This window comes from Homo sapiens, chromosome 1 (assembly GCF_000001405.40).
Source record: "Homo sapiens chromosome 1, GRCh38.p14 Primary Assembly".
In the NCBI taxonomy this organism is placed as follows: Eukaryota; Metazoa; Chordata; class Mammalia; order Primates; family Hominidae; genus Homo; species Homo sapiens.
Window position 1 is genome coordinate 210,710,415 of NC_000001.11, and position 18,853 is coordinate 210,729,267.

Sequence of the window (18,853 nt, forward strand, 5' to 3'; positions counted from 1 at the left end):
AAAGAGAGACAGAAAGAGAGAGATATACGAAGAGATGTGCATTTAGGCTACACTAAAGTTTTATATATACATATATAAAAATATAAATAAAATTAAGTGTGCTACAATGTAACAATGGCTATGATATCACTAAGTGACAGAAATTTTTCAGCTCCATTATAATCTTATGGAACCACTACCATTGATGGCATTAGGCAGTGCCTGACTATCTTCTTATCCCTATTTTACAGAATGAAGAGGTGAAGCTCAGAGAAGCCTAATGCCACGTGGCTGGTAAGTGGTGTGGCAGGCATGGGAGTCATACTTGGGTCTGCTTGCCCTCAAACGCTGGCTCCTTTTACCACACCCGCTGCTCTGCACAGACTCTGTGCTCAAATAGTGAATTCAACAGTCGCAACCTTGTGACCCACACCAATTTTGAAGGTGACATGTTATGTCTTCACTCCATCTAATCCAGGCCAGCCCACTGCACTCTACAGCAAACAGAGGACAATTAAGGGTCATCACAAGGCCCATGCCCTTTGCCCCATAATCCCCACCAGCTTCCCTTCAAAATGCTGACTCTCAGAGCCAGCCTCATGCTGTTCACCTGGCCGCTTCTGGATTCTGCTCTTCCACAGAGGTCTGGTTCAGTCCACTGTGAACTGGCTCTCTGGCTCCCAAATCTCCCTTTATTTTGGCTGCTACAGATCTTGGCCCATGAAATTCACCCTTAGTCTATTGCTAGCCAAGCCAGCCTCTCCCTAGACAGCCCCAGACCATGGGGGAAGGAGAGGAAGCCAGATACTATTGCTAATATAAATGCCATCATACCTGGCCTGCCAGAAATCTTGTGGGAAATCACACCGGGGACCACCACCTGGGCCTCTGCTAAGATGTGTGTAAATCTTAAAGTCCTGGGGAGTTCAGGGGCTGTTACTCTCTTCAGGGGCCCAAGCCAGGTTCTCCTTCATCTCTCTAAATTGTACTCCCATTCCCAGGCATTGGGCCATCAGGGGAAGGTTAGCCTTAGCCCGGGGCCTATGGAATCTGGCTCATTTCTCACTAGGACCTTCTCATGCTCCTCAGAGATGCCAGCCTCTCTAGAGCCTCTGAGGTGTCTTACATGCTGTTCCTTTGACCTGAGTTGCCTTTCCTCCTCCTCTTTGCCTAGCCAGCTCTTACTTCCTTCAGGTCCTCACTCAAATGTCACCTCTCTGGGACTTACCCTTCACCTTGGTTTGGGTGTCCCTCTCTTCTACCCCTTTATCATGCAATGATACAAGAGTATCCCTGATAACACCCCTCAAGCGCTATGGTCATCAACTTTCTGAAGCCCTTGGCAGCTTAACAGTCCACTGTGGGCAGGGACTTTGCCTGCCTTGCTCACACTCTATCCCTGGGGCCTGCACACAGTAGGGGCAGGATAAACAACTGCTGAAGGAGTATATGATGAAGGCCACAGTGGGGAACTTGTGGCTCTCAGAGGCTGGTTAGTTTCTCTGGAGGAAGCCCCTGGACCCCAGGCTTAGACAGTTTCCCTCACCTAGGTGGCCACAGTCCCACATATGTTATTGTCCACAACGGCAGAAGGACAGCTGCTCAGGGCCACATCGGCCACCAGGTGGAATCACAACCCACAGGGCCCATTCCTGACAGCGAGCCAGGAGTGTACTCTCTGAGTACAACGCTCAGCCATTAACACCATGAAGTCTAGCAAAGAACATAGATGAGATGAAGTGGCCAGAAAAAAAGCCCTATATTCAAAATAGTAATCGTACATCTCCAGAATCCATAAAAGGAACATGGTAATGCTGCACCAACCATGAGTGGTGATATTTGCCTTTCCTTAAAACAACTCAAATAAAAATAATACTTCTATGAACTAAACATAAAACAAGGCAAGGGTCATTGAGCCCATGTGTGAAGTTTTCACATCAAATCAACACCTCCTTGGGGGCTGTTTTCTGACACTTCCTGGTACTTGAAATAAAAACTCCGCCTGCTTCAGGGCTGGCAGGGAGAGTGGGAATAGAGCCCAGGACACTGCTTAGAGGCTCACAGCAGAACGAAGAGGCTGGGAGAAAGAAAAATGCCTTCAGGCTGTTTCCTAAAAGTCTTCCTGGCCCAGAATCTGTTCTTTCCAGCATGAAAAGCAAAACTTCTGATGCTAGAGTGACTTTCCTTTAATTTTTCCTTCTGCTGGTATGACTGTCCATTCCTCCAAAAACAATGCTGTAGAAAGCAGAAAGTGATGGCAGAACTTGCTGCTGGTGTCACAGGTGGTTTGGCTCATACCTATTCAAGAGTTTCACCTTTGCTTGCCTGAAACATTCACTCCTAATGCCTGTGGCCCTTGCATTCCTGTTATAAGTTCATTGAAAGGGTTCTGAGAGCTGCATACCCACATTAACAGGAATCTGTACCTGCCTACAAGTCTTGGAATTTTAGTCTATCAGCTCCAGGTCCAGTGCCAAGGCCTTGAAGAAGTTACGAACAGTTGCCTTTCCCCACCCCTAGTCCCCCAACCCCAGCAGCAGAGCCACTTGCCTTCCCTTGGCCTGGCTCCCCTGACACAATGCAGATGACTCGTGCACATCCTCCTCACTCTACCTTCTCCATCAGGAGGGGTGCTATTGTGCAGGCAATATTCCTTTAACTGGGGTTTGCTCCTGTGTTTGTCAATTTATTTTATTCACCTTTAAAAAGTTTTTCTTCTCTACCTTGGTTTCAAAAACAACAACATATTCAAAGAAAGATGCTCGCTTAGATGCATAAACACAAGATAAATCATAACATAATAAGGACAGAAGGAAAATAAAGGTAAGAAATGAGATATAGCCAAGTACCGACCATGAGATTGACAGATGCCACCAATTTAGCTCTGAGTCTGGTAAAGGCCAAAGGAAAGATGGCAATATCAGCAGACACAGATTGGGAGTACCTAGCCCTTAATTCCCAAAGAGACCAAGTGTCCAAATCATGCTTTCAGCACTGAAGATGCAGTTCTGCTCTGACTTTGGGGAATGTGGTCTGTTCTCTCCTTTCTTCCATCAATATTAAATGAGCATCTTCTAATTGCCAGGACTGTGGTAGGCTCTGGGGATAAAACAGACATCAAGATGTGATCTCTTTCCTTGCTCTCCATAAAGAAATAGATCGTCTTCCTAATTGTTCTTGGCTTTGGGTGGTGAGTTTTTGTATAGAGGTGTCAGGGGTTAGGGAAGGGATGGGGGGAAGAACATCCCATCCGTCTGCGATTTTTTCTTCCCTCAACCTGCAATTCATGATCCTTCATTTTCAGCCCCAATAAGTCCTTACACTTCACAGCCCAATTCAAATGCCACCTCCTCCTGGAAGCCGTTCCATATATTTCCAGGCTGAATTATGTCTGCTCATGTTGTATTAAAGACAATATATTTTCATGGAGTGGGAAATTCAGAGGTCAACTACACAAAAGTTAATTTCATTGCAGACTGAGGCATCTCTGAGTGGAGCTAACAGGAATTCAGCACCAATAAATCAGACCTGTGTCCTGGGAGCCTAGGGTTCACATATTATCCTGTCACTCCGGTGGGAGGCTTCTCACGATTGTCCTAAACCAAAGGGTATGAATATCGACATTTTTTTCTAACCTACGGGGCTAATATGCTGCCTGCCCTGCTCCCACTGTGAGACACATGTGAAGAAGAGAAGAGGTCTTCTCCTATCTAGAGAGTATGGAGAGAGGCAACTGGGGTCACAGAAAGAGCTCTGGGCTGTAGACTTGCATGTGGACTCCAATCAACTTCTCTGTTTAATAGCTAATGGCTGTGTGTGCCTAGAGCAGATTACCAAACCCCTCCAAACTTTGGTTTCTAAAACAGCTGTCAGTAAGGGGAGTAAAGTAAAGTATAGTTCACAGAATTTTCCAAAACATCAATGTTTCGAGGTAGACAAAAGGGTTTATAATGATACTTGGTTTGGGATAGGTGCTCATGAAACATTTTCTTTCTTCCTGTTTTGTTTTTTGCCTTTACCTGGGGTTGGGGCCTCTGCTGCTTATTCATCACGCAACTTTAGGCAAGTTGTTAACCTAAAATTCAGTGTCCCTGTCAATGGATGGGTTGTGGAGGACTGAACACAACGGTACGTGCAATGAGCTTGTGACATCCACACAAGGGGTCAGAATATACATGTGCAGCATAATCATAAATTACGGTCTGAATTCATCCATTCACTCATTCTTCCAAACAAACAGGTAACCCATGGCGCTTGTGTGCCAGGCATTGTGCTATTGCTGGAGACGTAAAGAGGATCATGATACCATCCCTGCCTTCAAAGGAAGGCAGTCTATATCATTTTTGCCTTTATCTTTTGTGCACTCCACACTCTGCATGTACTTTGTCTCTCTAGGGGCATCTTCTCTGGAGGACACAACCAAGAAAGAAAGAAATGAATCTTGTTGACTTGATTTATGCAGTGCCTCTGTGTGGCTGATGTATAACCTCATTTTCCCCCAGCCATTGCTCTGATGGTGCTCTGGATGTTTAGAGATGTACACTATCTCCTCCCAAAGGGACCAATCCATGGTGATGTCTGACCGGCACAGACTACCCATCAGAGACCTGTGTTGGTCCTAGTGGGTGCAGAGGGCATGCAGCCAGGCCTGCAGAGAAAGCTTCAGATCAAGTCCACAGGAAGACTCTGCCTCAATAGGGGGCCTGACAGCAGCAAAGACTCATGACAGCTCAAAGTTCTGGGAATAGAAACCCCCAGCTATCTTCCATCAGGGGCAGAGATAGGCTTCCACCCACTCTGACAGGCTGCAGGGCTAGTTCTGGAAGAACCAATGTGCTGCCTACACCAGATGACTCACACTCAGGCACTTGAGTGAGCCTCCTGTCACTCCCTGCAAGAGGGTAGGGAGGGACAAGGAGCCCAGTTCTCTTTGCCTTGAGCCTTAGGCTCAATAGTCAGACTTAAATAACACACAATATAAATCTTAACAGGGCCAAGCACAGTGACTCACACATGTAATCCCAGCACTTTGGGAGGCCAAGGCAGGAGGGTTGCTTGAGGCCAGGAGTTCAAGACCAGCCTGCACAATATAGCAAGACCCTGTTTCTATTTTAAAAATTAAACAAAAAAAAAAAAAACGTAATGGGATTAGTTTGGCTTGGTTCAACTTTGCATTACTAATCTTTCATAAAAACATCCCCAGAAGTTTGCATCATAATCATTAGGTCATAATTTTCCCATCAAGAGCTAATTGTTATAAATAATCATGAGTTGCTATGATTTTTCAGGGCTAAGAAAGTGGGGCTAGAGGTTCTAGCCCAATTTTAGCAACAATAATCATCAAAACAAACCCACGTGTGACCTTCTGTGGGGCCTGGAAGGGAAACGCTCTCTGAGTTATGTAGCTCAACCAACAACCTCTGGGAGTGACTGGGATAGGAGGCAACCTCGGTGGAAGGTTTCCTGCCTCAGTAAGGGCTCTGAGATCAGGGCAACAGGGCCATTCTCAGACAAAAGAACGAAGACTTCAGGAGAAGCTCCAGGGGACATGCCACCCTGGCCTTAGGGATACAAAGGAAAGTAGATCCTGGGACAATGGAAACAGTCCCTCAGAGAAGGCAGCTAGGAAATTTATGTATCACATTCCCTTCTAAACAAACACTGCCCTGCTCTTGCCCCCTCCCCCCGCCATTTCTACTCAGTTATATTCCATTTCCAATACTTGGGTAGATCTTGCTTTAAGAAAGCATGTTGCACAGGCTGGGCGTGGCGGCTCATTCCTGTAATCCCAGCACTTTGGGAGGCTGAGGCGGGTGGATCACGAGGTCAGAAGATCGAGACCATCCTGGCCAACACGGTGAAACCCCATCTCTACTAAAAATACAAAAATTAGCTGAGCATGGTGGTGGGCATCTGTAATCCCAGCTACTTGGGAGGCTGAGGCAGGAGAATCACTTGAACCCAGAAGGCGGAGGTTGCAGTGAGCAGAGATTGTGCCACTGCACTATAGCCTGGGCGACAGAGCAAGACTCCGTCTCAAAAAAAAAAAAAAAAAGCATGTTACACAACCATCTAGACTTTTCTGAAACACATCAACAACTGTATGCTATTACTAAAGGGTTTACTTTGAGGAATGATTTACTACAGGGTTCTTCAAATAGTGAAGTCTTCCTTACAGGCATTTAAAATGGAATTGGGTTATGTCCTTTAACTTGCATAGAACTTTAACTTCCTCCAGACATGTCTACTACATTCACTGAGGCCTCCTGTGCTCATCTTCAGTTGTTTTCAGGCTCTATTGGTTGTGATGACCAAATTGTCTCTGATTACATGCCCTGTCTCTCCAACCAGGCTTCTCGAGGAGGCTTGCTCTCTCTGTTCCAACTATGCAGATCACTAGGGCTCTGCAAAGAGTAGGTGCTGGGCATACACTTATAGATAATCACGAGTTGCTATGATTTTTTGGGGCTAAGAAAGTGGGGCTAGAGGTTCTAGCCCAATGTTAGCAACAATAATCATCAAAACAAACCCATGTGTGACCCTCTGTGGGCCCTGGAAGAGGGCATACAGCACTAAGTTGACTGATCAGTTTATATCATGAATGATATGATGAGTTTATATCTTCCATTTGAGTTATATCTTCTATTTCACCACATACTGATTAATTTCTAAAATCACTTAGCTTTACAAGTAGCCCTTCTTTGCCTCCCAGGAAGCCTCTGGGGTCAGGTGAGATACCATGAGAAGAAAAAGCTGCCCTTATTTGCCAAACTTGTGTTTCCCTGAGGGATTTTGAAGAGCTAGGCCCTCAGCTAGAGCCTGGGGCAACAGAGAGGAGATCCCATTTCTGGCCTAGGGCTGAAAGCATATAACTGACTGGCAGTTATCCCTGTGCTCAACATGTAGGGGCTATAAGCGGCATCAGCCAAACCTGGATGGATCAGGATATGAATGCACTTTAGTCCGCAGACTGCACCTCAGCATGGCCCCTGCTGCTCCCCAACTCTCAGGGATTCAGCTTTTGACCAATGAGACAAGTCCTGCTCTAAGGCAGAGGCTGACCAGTGCTCTCCCTCCCTTTTTCCCTGGGCCTCATGTCACTCCTGAGCAGACTGTCTGTCTGTAAGAAGCCCTGGCTCCAGGTTCATAGATCCAAACGGCTAGGAACACTCCTTGCACAGTTCATCAGAAAACCCAGTTGCTGGTGTGGTGAAGTAACATTTTGAATTATCCCCTTCTGGTATTTCTTGTTACCCCTTGACACTTTCTTGATTCTACAGACCGGATCTGAGGCAGTGGATGTACTCAGGAACAGCAGATTCCCTTGAGGAGTGCTGTCCAAGAGAAATATAACACAAGCACAAATGTGAGCCACATATGTGAATTTTCTAGTACCTACATTTAAAAAGTCAAAAGAAATAGGTAAAATTGGCTGAGTGCAGTGGCTCATGCCTGTAATCCCAGCACTTTGGGAGGTCGAGGTGGGAAGATCACTTGAGATCAAGAGCTTGAGACCAGGCCTGGCCAACATAGTGAAACCCCATGTCTACTAAAAATATAAAAGTTAGCCAGGCGTGGTGGTGTGCACCTTTAATGCCAGCTACTGGGGAGGCGGAGGCCCGGGAATTGCTTGAACCCAGGAGGTGGCGGTTGCAGTGAGCTGAGATTGCACTACTGCACTCCAGCCTGGGTGACAGAGCAAGACTCCATCTCAGAAAACAAAAACAAAAACAAAAAACAAGGAAAAAAATAGGTAAAATTAATTTTAATGTTTTATTTAACATAATATGTCCAAAATATAATACTCAAATATGTAATCAGCATAAAAAATTATATATATAAAAAGTACTAAGTCTTCTATAAATATTATAAATATATGTGCATATAAAAATATGTGTATATAAATATATGTATATATGTGTATATAAATATATATAAATATATGTATATATGTATATATACATATATTTATATATAAATATATGCATATATTTATATATAAAATATATGCATATATGTATATATATAAAATATATACATATATGTATATATATAAAATATATACATATATGTATATATATAAAATATATACATATATGTATATATATAAAATATATACATATATGTATATATATAAAATATATACATATATGTATATATATAAAATATATACATATATTTATATATATAAAATACCAAGTCTTATATAAATAAAATTATATGTATGTGTGTATAAATATATATATACATATATATATACACACACACACACACACACACACACACACACACACACACATATATATATACACACTAAGTCTTCAAAATCCCTTGTCTATTTTATGCTGGCAGCACATCTCAGTTCTGACTAGCTACATTTCAAGTACTCAGTCGGCACATGTGGCCAGTGGCTACCACATTAGACAATGTAGCCCCAGAGCCAATGAAGTGTGAAGAGGTGGCTAAGAGGGAGCCACCCCTCAAGAGCCATGGGGTCAGGAACTGGAGAAGACTCAAGAGTCTGTGGGGATCAATGATATCTCAATGGAATCAAAAACCATTTTCAGATTTCCAGCGTGGTAGATGACAACTCCCAAGATTAGCCCCCAACCAAGGCACCAAATGCCTTCGCACCATGTAAAATTGCCCACAACTGCATTGTCCAGTATGGTAGCCATTGCTACGTGTGGCCGTTTAAATTAAAATTAATTTAAAATTAAATAAAATTAACAAGGCATTAGCTCAGTTGCATTAGCCACATTTCAAGTGTTCATTAGCCATATATGGCTGGGGGCTACTGCATGGAGCAGTGCAAATATATTTCCATCACCACAGAAAGTTGTATCAGACAGCACCAGCTAGCACTCGGAATCAACCCCTGAGAAACGTGGGGAGTGGCCCCAAATTTCCTGAGATAAAGATTCTGCTATTTGTAGGCATGGGGACTTATAAGGAAACCTAAACTGAATCATAGAAAAATAAGGTCATTTTAGTATACACCCAGACATGGATGAAACTGGAAACCATCATTCTCAGCAAACTAACACAGGAACAGAAAACCAAACACCACATGTTCTCACTCATAAGTGGGAGTTGAACAATGAGAACGTATGGACACAGGGAGGGTAGCATCACACACCAGGGCCTGTTGGGGAGTGGATAGCAAGGGGAGGGAGAGCATTAGGACAAATACCTAATGCATGCAGGGCTTAAAACCTAGAAGACAGGTTGATAGGTGCAGTAAACCACCATGGCACATGTATACCTGTGTAACAAACTACACATTCTGCACATGTATCTCAGAACTTAAAGTAAAATAAAAAAAAAATAAGATCATTTTTCTTGCATAACTCAATATGTGGAATAAGATGAATAATTTAACTTTTAATAGACATTCCTTTTAACTCTTGGTGAACATTGATTGCTTCATTTGTAAATTTGGAAAACAATCCGTATCACTGTACAAGGTGGTGTGAGGATCAAGTGAGACAAAGAGGTTCAAACATCTGACTCAAGGCCTGGCCCACTGGGCTTCCTTCCCTCCCTTTTCTAGCGCTATGTGTGTAAATGTCTGTGTGTCCCTCCCGTCTTTCCTATATTCCTCTTAAATGCAGCGGCATGCAGATTTTCACCCTCTGAGAACAAGGGCCACATCATTGCAGTACACTGGGAACATCTCTAAAGCAGATGGGACATTCTATGGCCAAACAGGACTAGTGAGACAGCAGAATGCAAACTGCTGAATGGAGAGAATAGGAGAAAATGGCTTTGTGGAAGGTACAAACAGCATCAAGATTTTTCAGGAGAAATCAAATTAATATGATCATCCAGAACTTACAGAGACAAAGAGAAAACAGGTGTGTAGAAAGTGAGGTATGGGAACGGGAATTGAGGACTTCATTGCATTATTTTGACCAGAAATATGAGCTAAGCCAAGGCAGGAGGTATAACGCAAATAGAATTTCAGTAAAGATTTACATTGCATTGGCTTGTCAACAAAACTTTCTTATTTTATCTCCTTCTTATGGCAATGATATAAGAGTAAGAATAACCATATGCGATTAAGCAGTAAAAAAGGTAAAGTCACTCAAGACCAAGTTCGCTTGGGGACAGTCTCAGGAAGAATGTGGAAGGAATCTGTGCTGAAGACAAAGGGTAAAATCGTAAGGGATAGAATTTTAATTATATATAATGGGTTAACTTGACCTTGCTTGCCCCCAAAGAACTGGGACTAATATAGATCTATTGTTTGTTTCTACAAACTCTGGCCAAAAATGATGTGTGCCATTAATCATATAGTGGCATCATCACATTGCGTCACCTGTTCTCCTTGGCCAAATCCCTTTCTCAAGGGACTCTGGCCTAGGAAAAGGGGGTAGATGTCTTTCATAACCAGGGATAGGAGCAATTACAGAAGCTGAGATTGTTTTCCCTGCTCCTTTATGTTGTCCAGGAAAGTTGGGCCTCCTCACAGGGTAGTGGGAGTAGAAGAGTCAACAAAAATTATGTCATGCATGATATGACAGTCACTCTGACATTGATGTTGTCTCTCCCCCTGTATCTCTTTCTTTTATAACTTTAGCAACCAGTATTACTTCCTCTGGGGCTTTGGAGCTAGAAGAACCCTACAATACCCAAGTACAACTCCTCATTTGATAGCTAGGACTCAGTGATCCAGAGAGTAGAGGAAAGTCCCATGTATAACAGCCCTGAACACCTGGGAATTGAGGCTAGGAACCCAGGCCCAGACCTCCTGCTTCAGCTCAGGGTTCTCTCCACTGTATCTAGGAGCCCTTCCACCTGGTGCTGGGTTTGCACACACAATAGGTACTTGATGCCCCTGGAGAATAAAGGTTCCTACAGTTAACCTGCATAACCCAGGCCCTACTGCTGTAGCTCTTGGCCACCTACGAGGAGCTAGCCTGATAATCAGAGTGGTTTTTAATGCCAGTGAAAATTCTTCAGCGCAAGAGTTCTGCTCACAAAGGCTTCCACTAGCTGTCAAAGCAGTTGGTGGTTTGGGTTAATAAAATTTTTAGATCTTATAAAATGTATTTTCTTTTGAGGTATTTTTGCATTGTTTTTAGAATAATGAGATCTGAGATATAAACCTGAGACTCAACAGAAGACTGCATAGAAGTTGATGGCCGAAATAAAATGTAGATTCTCCCTCAATGGAGAAACATAATTTTTCCCAGGCACAAGGCATGAAGGAGACTCTGTCCCAGCCCCTTGCTGCTTTTTTGAGACATATCAGAAGCCGTAGAAGGAGCGGGGAGGGATAGCATTAGGAGATATACCTAATGTTAAATGACGAGTTAATGGGTGCAGCACACCAACATGGCACATGTATACATATGTAACCTGCACGTTGTGCACATGTACCCTAAAACTTAAAGTATAATAAAAATAAATAAATAAATAAATAAATAAATAAATGAAAAAGAAAGAGGCTGTCAGAAGCCAATGGCTAGGTCCCAGCTGTCCTCTTTCCTGTGGTTCCAGGAAGAGACTACAGACCAGGCCCAGTTATTTGACCTTCTGTTTCTAAATGGACTCAGGGTCTGCTGAAGATGACCCTCTCCCCCACTCACCCTGCCACTTCCCTCCACTGCCAATCAATCCACCAGTGGGCATGTAGCAGTTTCCCCAGTGGGTTCCAGCCCCATACTGAAAGCAGGCCAACGACTAGAGCTGGATCCTCACAAGGGATCATGAGCTTCACAAAGACATAAAAAAGAAAATCTGCTCTAACGTTAAAAGATTACACATTAAGCCTAGAAAGTCCCCCCATTCTATGAATAGGGATAAGAAGGATCTGTTCTGTGTTACTTTGTAGGGCTGGAGTGAAGCTCAAAGGTGAGAAGGGAAAGGTATTTCGTAAAAGGGCTGTTTTGGCTTCAGTGTTTCTTGTTATGTGTGCTTATATAGTGCTTATATTTTACTCTTATTTTCTGGGCAGTGAAAACCTCCCTCCATTATTTGGCCACCACAGAGAGACTATGGCTTTTAAATTACATAGGTATATAGCAGGAGCCCACTGCATAGCCAGGGAATGAAGGAAAGCCAGAACTCATGAGAAGGGATCAGAAGTTCTGTGCCCCTGGGAGCAGGGGATGGAGAAGGGCCTGGTAGTGTTGATGGCACAGATGAGTCCTGCCCTCTACTGCTCCTGCCTCTGTATGGCTCTGCCCCATGTTCATTGCTGTTATCCCTCATCATAATTAGAGATAATTTACACATGTGTTTTCTCTCCTAGCCACCTAGGCTCCTGGGGATTTGATTTAACCTCTATCCCCTAGCTTGGCACAGTGTATGGTCTCCATAAAAGTGGATGGAAGGGATGACTGTCCTCTATGAGTTTCTGAAATATCTTGGAATCAAGTCTAGTAAAATACAGCAATCTAAAGTCTAACAGATGGAAGAAGAGAAATTCAATTTATATAATGGGTAGAGAACAGCCTCCCAGAAATTTCCTTGTTTGTTTTAACTCCATTTGTGTAGGAACCTGAGGCATCTGGGGAAAATCTCACACTTGTCTTGCTGGGGTTAATGTGCTTCCCGTTCCTGACAGACCTCAGGGAAGACAACTTAACCTGATAAAAAATCAACACCAATTTATGGAAATATAAACAGACTTCTGAAGGGCACACAACCATAAGGGGAAAATTAATCAGTAAAGAGGTATGAGCAAAGTACTTAAATCAACAAGGCAATCAGACAGAAAACCCCAATGGGAAACCTGCCTGCCTGGCCTCACCCATAGCCAGTGTCTCTCGTGGTCTCTCAAATTCCTTTCCTTCCTGAAAAGAAAAAAAATGATACCTTACATTTTTTAACTTAAGATTTAAAAATATGTTATATAGAGTAAAATTGGGCTTCTCTCATCCTTTAGCCATGAGAAAAAAAATGTTCTTTTGTTAGGAGGACCATGGTCACCATGAAGGTCAGTCATAGGCATCCATGGAGTCAATTGTGGCAGCCATGTCCCCCCAGCAGCAGATCCCTACTACTTAGATCCAGCCACTCCTCAGAGGTGGAGAAGGGGAAGTGAGAAAAGGTCCATCCTGGCCCCTAGGAAACTCTCCCCAAAGAAAAACCAAGAAGAAACACTTTCCAAATGTTTCTTTCCTTTAAAATAAAGTTAGTTAGCAACCCTGATGCCTTCATCAAAACAAAGAAAGACCTTCTGATGACAGAGTCTGAGGATGATCATGCAAAGTGCTGAACAAAGTGAAAAATGAAATCAAGATTTTTTCCATTCTCTTGTTTCTGCTGGCTTCAGGGTCCTGATTTCATTAAGCTGAAAGGGGAAAACATACCAAAAAACCCCAACAATTCTCAAACAAAAAACAAGCAAGTTAACCATGGAGTAGAAAGGTCCAGCACTTGAAAGGTTAACAAAGGGACACGTGTGAGTTGAAGCATGGTTGGGCAGCATTGATGCTTTGATGGCAAACATGCTGTCCTCACGTGGACAGAAGGTCAAAGATCTGTTCTACGAGTGAGATGAGCACTCCTTATCATGGGTCTGACATGGCCTTCACTGAGGTATCTATAGCTTCTCACATTTCCCACTGTGGCCGGGGAAAGAGTATGGCCTGTGTCATTCAAGGTTACCAGCTTACATGGGCTATCTGTGGTCCTGTATTTAGAAATGTGACAATAATAGTAGTCATCATTTACTGAACAGACTTTACCTGATTTTATCCTCACAATATGTGAGGATTATATTAATTCCCAATTTTCAGGCAAGAAAAAATAAGACCCAGAGAAGTCCAGTAACTTTTCCAAAGTGATTCTCTTAGTAGAGTAGTTCTTAGCCTTTGCTGTACTTAGAATCCCAAACTACAGTGCCCAAGCTGTATATTAAGCCAATTAAATCAGAATGTCTGATGTGGAGTATTTTTTTTTAAAGCTCCTGGATGATTTCAATGTGCAGCCAAGGCTGGATAACCACTGATCCAGTAAGCAGTAGAGTTAGGATCTGCTTACTGATCCAGTAAGCAGTAGCGTTAGATTCCAGGCCTCTGCTCATTTTTCTCTGCAATATTATCAGTCAAAAAGGAACAATCCAGAGATTTAAGTAAATATTCATCAAATAGTGCTCCTACTGAAGATAGGAGACAGATTCAGAAAAAGAAATCCATTTGGCATAATGTTTACTTTTCTTATAAATAGAAACAGGCTGAGGGTTAAATGTCTTTTCCCTACAGCAGAAGGCATGGGCTTTGCAAACAGGATTTTCAGACATTCAGAATCTTTGTACTTTATCAAGTTCTAGCTATGTGCTTGAGGGTTCAGTTGTAGTTTGACTTCAGGGTCTCATAATAGCTTCTGGGACCCACAGTGAGAATACCGACTCACAAAGGGCACTCGTGGCCAATGTCACCCTCATACCTCATCTGTTCAGACAGATGCGTCCTGCTGCCAATTCCAATGAATGCTTCAGTTAATAGTCCTCATTTTCTAGGGCAACATCATCAGGATTGAAACATCTTCTGCTGGCTGCTATGTGGAACAGAACATCCCATCTCCCTGACTTCTCCTGTCATGAGGAAATTATTGAAAATAATTTTCCCTATTAAAATGCCTGTTTTCCTGAGGGTAGGAGCCACCATGGACACTTTAGCTGAGACATCTTAGTTGAGACATAAAAGCTTGGCTAATCAGAACCATCAGCTTGTCACTGCCATTCAATTAACCCTTTCTTCTATGTCAGACTGTGGCTTCTAACTGCATTAAGACCTTCCTGGCTAGCATTCCCTCTTGTGAAACTGCTGTTGATAATGGCATCCCAATGCCCATAGCCCGTAGCTGCACTACACAGACACATTTCACTGTCAGAATTACCTATGAAAGTATTTCTGAACCCCTAGATGTGACACATTAGGCTCCATCTTACAAGGAGCTTTAAGGTATTCATTCAGTTTTTTATACATTAATTCAAGATACATTTACTGAGCACCCTCCCTATTCTAGATACTGCCCTATACACCAGACAAAAAACACCAAGTAATGTCCAGACTCAGATCTAAGAAAGCTTCCAGTCTTGTGTGAAAGCTTGAAACATGGAAGGCAATTATAACCCAATGGGTGGCTAAATGATGGACCTGCCTATGGCTCTCTCAACTCAGTCTGGGGGTAGGGGGTGATCAGGGAAGCCCTCTTGGACAAGAAGAAGCTTGAATGGAGGAAATCTGCACAGAGGTATGAACGATGAACAGGCTTTTAATGCTGTAGAAGCTCATTTCTGCAGGGCAGCTAAGACTATACCTGTCTCATTCAAAGGTTTCAAATGGCTCTCAAGGCTCTTCAGAAAATGGCTTTCTAGCCCCTTCTCCTTCCCAGTCCCCCGTGCTGAGCCACTACTCTGTTTCCCAACCAGCCCTTACATATCCATATATTTCCCTTCTTGTTAGGGCTGTGTTCTTTGTCAGGAATGTCCATTATCCTCTGTCTGTTGGGCTTCTCCTCACCCTTCAAGACCCAGTACAAATGTCACTTTCTCTGCAAAGACTTCCCTACCTCTGACAATCACAGGACTTGTGACATTATATTATAGTTATCTGTGTGCCTATCTGAGCCACAAGCTTCTGGAGGACAAGACTGCATCTTAGTCATATTCACATTCCCAGAGTTTGGCAGATAGAAAGTGTATTATATGCCTTCTTTTTGACAAAGGAATGGAAGAACAAAGTAACACATCAAAAATTTATAAGAACATTTTCATCCATTTCAATGCAAAAGGAGGTAGAGTCTCCCCGGAAGAGGCTACAAATTGGGGTAAATGAACAGGATCCTGGTATCAGCTCCTGACAAGCCAAGGAGCAGCACTTGCCCAACTTCTGAAAAGGAAGTTATTTGGTGACTCGCTGATGTGCAATAACACCATAAGCAAGCAGAAACAAATGGGGAGACTTGGGAGCAAATTGATTATTCATGAATCCAATTACAACTAATAGCTCAAGAAAGACCCCTCTCAGATGCCTATAATAATTCATGCAGAGGACAGAAGGAACCCTGCCAGGTTGGCATCTGGGTCCTGAAGTGTCAGGGAGCTTGGACAGGTATGTAGCAAATCATCTCAGGGAGGCAAGCTCAACTTCTTAGACTCAATGCTGACAGGACCAGGGTCATGCTCAGGTCCCCTTGGGCTAGTTCACAGCCCAGAGACAAATTTTCTGTGGACAGAGCCTGTGCTCCCTTACCTAAGCCAGTCACCCACAACATTTATCTTATTTTAAAGTCAGCAACCTCAGATGCAGGATCAGGTAATTAAGCAGAGGGATTTAATAAAACCTTTTTATTAAATGAGCAGTGTGTGAGTTCTCCTGCTCACATACTGTAGTGAACCCCAAACAGGGTGAGTCAAAAACATGCCTAAGTGGTTCAGAACCATGGACAGTTCCCCGGCGGGGGTGGGGTGGACTACTCTCCTCTATTCATTTAAAAGTGCAGGTTCCAGCTTAGAAGTGCCTGCTTACTCAACCCTCAATAGAGAGGGGTGGGTATGGAAACCCTTCCCATGTCTTTTATTATGAATGTAGTGAGAAACCAGAATGAGCTCAGGGAGGTGGAGGCCATCCCTTTGTCACCACTCTCAGTCTGGCTGACCCTACTTGGGCATGGGTTAAAAAGTCAACAATTGCTAATGATGATGAATGATTACTTATGTCTTGATGGTGTGTGGGATTAGGAAGAGCACAAATGTCTTTTCTTACTCTATCACGAGTTCCTCATACTGTAGGAGAAACTATTCTGGCCACAGACAGAGATGTGTATTTCAATGGGAGAAAAAGAGAAGTATGTAGAAGTATATACTTTGGTATTAAAGCCCCATATTTGATCAGCAAGGCAAAGGCATATTCCCACTAAGTCTCCTTCATGGTAAGTATTTGACAGTTCTAATGTGCTCATAGAGGCTTATCTTACTCAATAAGCCCACAGGAGAAAGGCCTCTGCTTAAAATATATACATATTTTGATAGCGATACAGTCTCCCTATGTTGCCTAGTCTGGTCTTGAACTCCTGGCCTCAAGAAATCCTCCACCTTGGCCTCCTAAAGAGCTGAGATTACAGGTGTGAGCCACCAAAGCCTGGTCCTCTGGTTAACTTTTCATTGTCCACGAGGAAATAGTGGGTAGGGTGTGTTTAACTATAGGCATAGGAGCAGGATGAGGTATTCACAATCTAAAAAAAATGTATCTAGATGTTCTGCCATTAGATACACAAAAGATTACCCTTCTCTCAAACAAAACAAGCTCCTTTTAATAAAGGAATCAGGGAGTTTGGTCCTTTGGAAATAATTTAATAAGCTTTCTCTGGAATCCAGTTTCAGCTAACATGCAAGAACCAGGCACATTTTCATCCCCTTTCCAATATTCAAAACAGTCCACAAGGCACTCATGGAATAGGAAGGAGTAAAGCTTTAAAAGAAAAAACGCTGAAGCACATCTCCTGTCTCTGCATTGTCTGCACAGCTAATCTCAAGGGATCTCAGTAATCCTCCAAACAAAAGAGACTGATCTAAACTACAAAGCAACTGTGAATGAACCACTGAATCAGGACAAATGAGACCAGGAGGTTCTAACCCTGTGTTCTCTATGGTCAGCAGACAACCTGCACCAGAATCAATTGATACTTGTTAAAATGCAGACTCCTAGGGAACATCAAATATCTACTGAATCTTAATCTCTCGGGTTGTTATCAGAACCTACATTCTAAAATAGGCTCTTCCTGAAGGAAGGTTGGTAAACAACTGCTCTAAGCCATAATGAATGTAGGCTTAGGAGTCTGAAGACTCTTGGCCCCCTTGTCTGAGTTCTGATGAGTTGTGTGTTTTCAGAATGTCATTGTGCCCTCTTTAGTGACAATCTTGGAGCCTGAGACCACATGAAAGAGACTGTGAGTTACTTTCATTTCCAGTGCCTGGCACATAAGGAATTCTTAATGAATGGTGAATAGTGAAATGAATAAATAGATGATAATGAGAGACCACACAGTAGGACAGGTGATAAAAAGGATGGAGTAATGAACAAATGAAGACCAATGGTGAAATAATAGATTTCAGTATAACAATTACCAAACATGACTTAGAATTAACGTTTTGCCTTGATGACATGGAAATCTTAAATAAATTTCTCTCTGGTCATTCTATGTCATTTACTTAAAATGGGAAAAGACATGGGGGACTGCTGGTTTGAGGTATGTGTGCAGAGGTCCCATGTGCACCCAGCACACACACACGTGCTTACACACACAGCCATCCAGGGACGCAGCTGCCACACTAAATATTGATTAGCAACAGGAGGAGCCAGTTTTAGGTGCATTTACAAAGGAAAAGCAGGCTTGAATAGACAGCCCCTTAGGTAGAAAGTACAGCTCTATATTTTGATGGCTTTGCCACTTCACCTGGCATAGATAGGGCCAGCAAATGTCTTGCTGGGAACCAGCTGTGCTGGGCATGCTGCTCTTCTCTGACCCCAAATCTGCATCCCAACCTGCTAAAGGGCCCTCATTAGTAGGGCCCGAATTGCCTGGAACATTCAGATGTCTTTGCTGCCAAAATACTCATAAGCCAAAGCAAATACTGTCAGGTAAGAACCAAAGGCTACCAAATGAAAAAGCAAGCTCACAGTGGACTATAATGTGGCTGAGGTTAGATTATACATGAAACTGTGAAGCTGGGCTTCTATTTGGGCAGAAAAGGGTTAGAAGAAGTAATCATTTCCCTTCAAGCCATTCTGCATTTTTAAATTCCTCAGCATGCAAGGGGAAAAAGGAAAGAAAATTTAGAGCACAGGGTACATTTATAAGCCAAGAGACCAAATCAGACATAAAAAGTGGCTTCTTCTTTAGGTTTTCTTTTATG

At 42.9% G+C, this 18,853-nt stretch overlaps 1 protein-coding gene and 1 long non-coding RNA gene across 6 annotated transcripts in view, besides 1 other annotated feature; one reads left to right on the plus strand and one right to left on the minus strand.

Annotated features, from left to right (window-relative positions):
* The window catches only part of KCNH1 (potassium voltage-gated channel subfamily H member 1), a 455,835-nt gene that overhangs the window by 32,101 nt on the left and 404,881 nt on the right, over positions 1 to 18,853 (minus strand). The gene's annotated exons all lie outside the window — the stretch shown is intronic.
* Positions 1 to 18,853, plus strand: part of LOC105372901 (uncharacterized) — a 44,716-nt gene that overhangs the window by 1,231 nt on the left and 24,632 nt on the right. The window contains exon 2 of the long non-coding RNA XR_922550.3: positions 231 to 273. This is a non-coding gene — a long non-coding RNA (uncharacterized LOC105372901). The remainder of the gene's footprint in view (positions 1 to 230; positions 274 to 18,853) is intronic.
* Positions 16,280 to 16,480: a silencer, noted in NCBI's record as "peak678 fragment used in MPRA reporter construct". NCBI's record gives its function as "represses an SCP1 promoter by STARR-seq MPRAs in K562 erythroleukemia cells {active_cell/tissue: K562}" and the evidence as "EXISTENCE:reporter gene assay evidence [ECO:0000049][PMID:32103011]".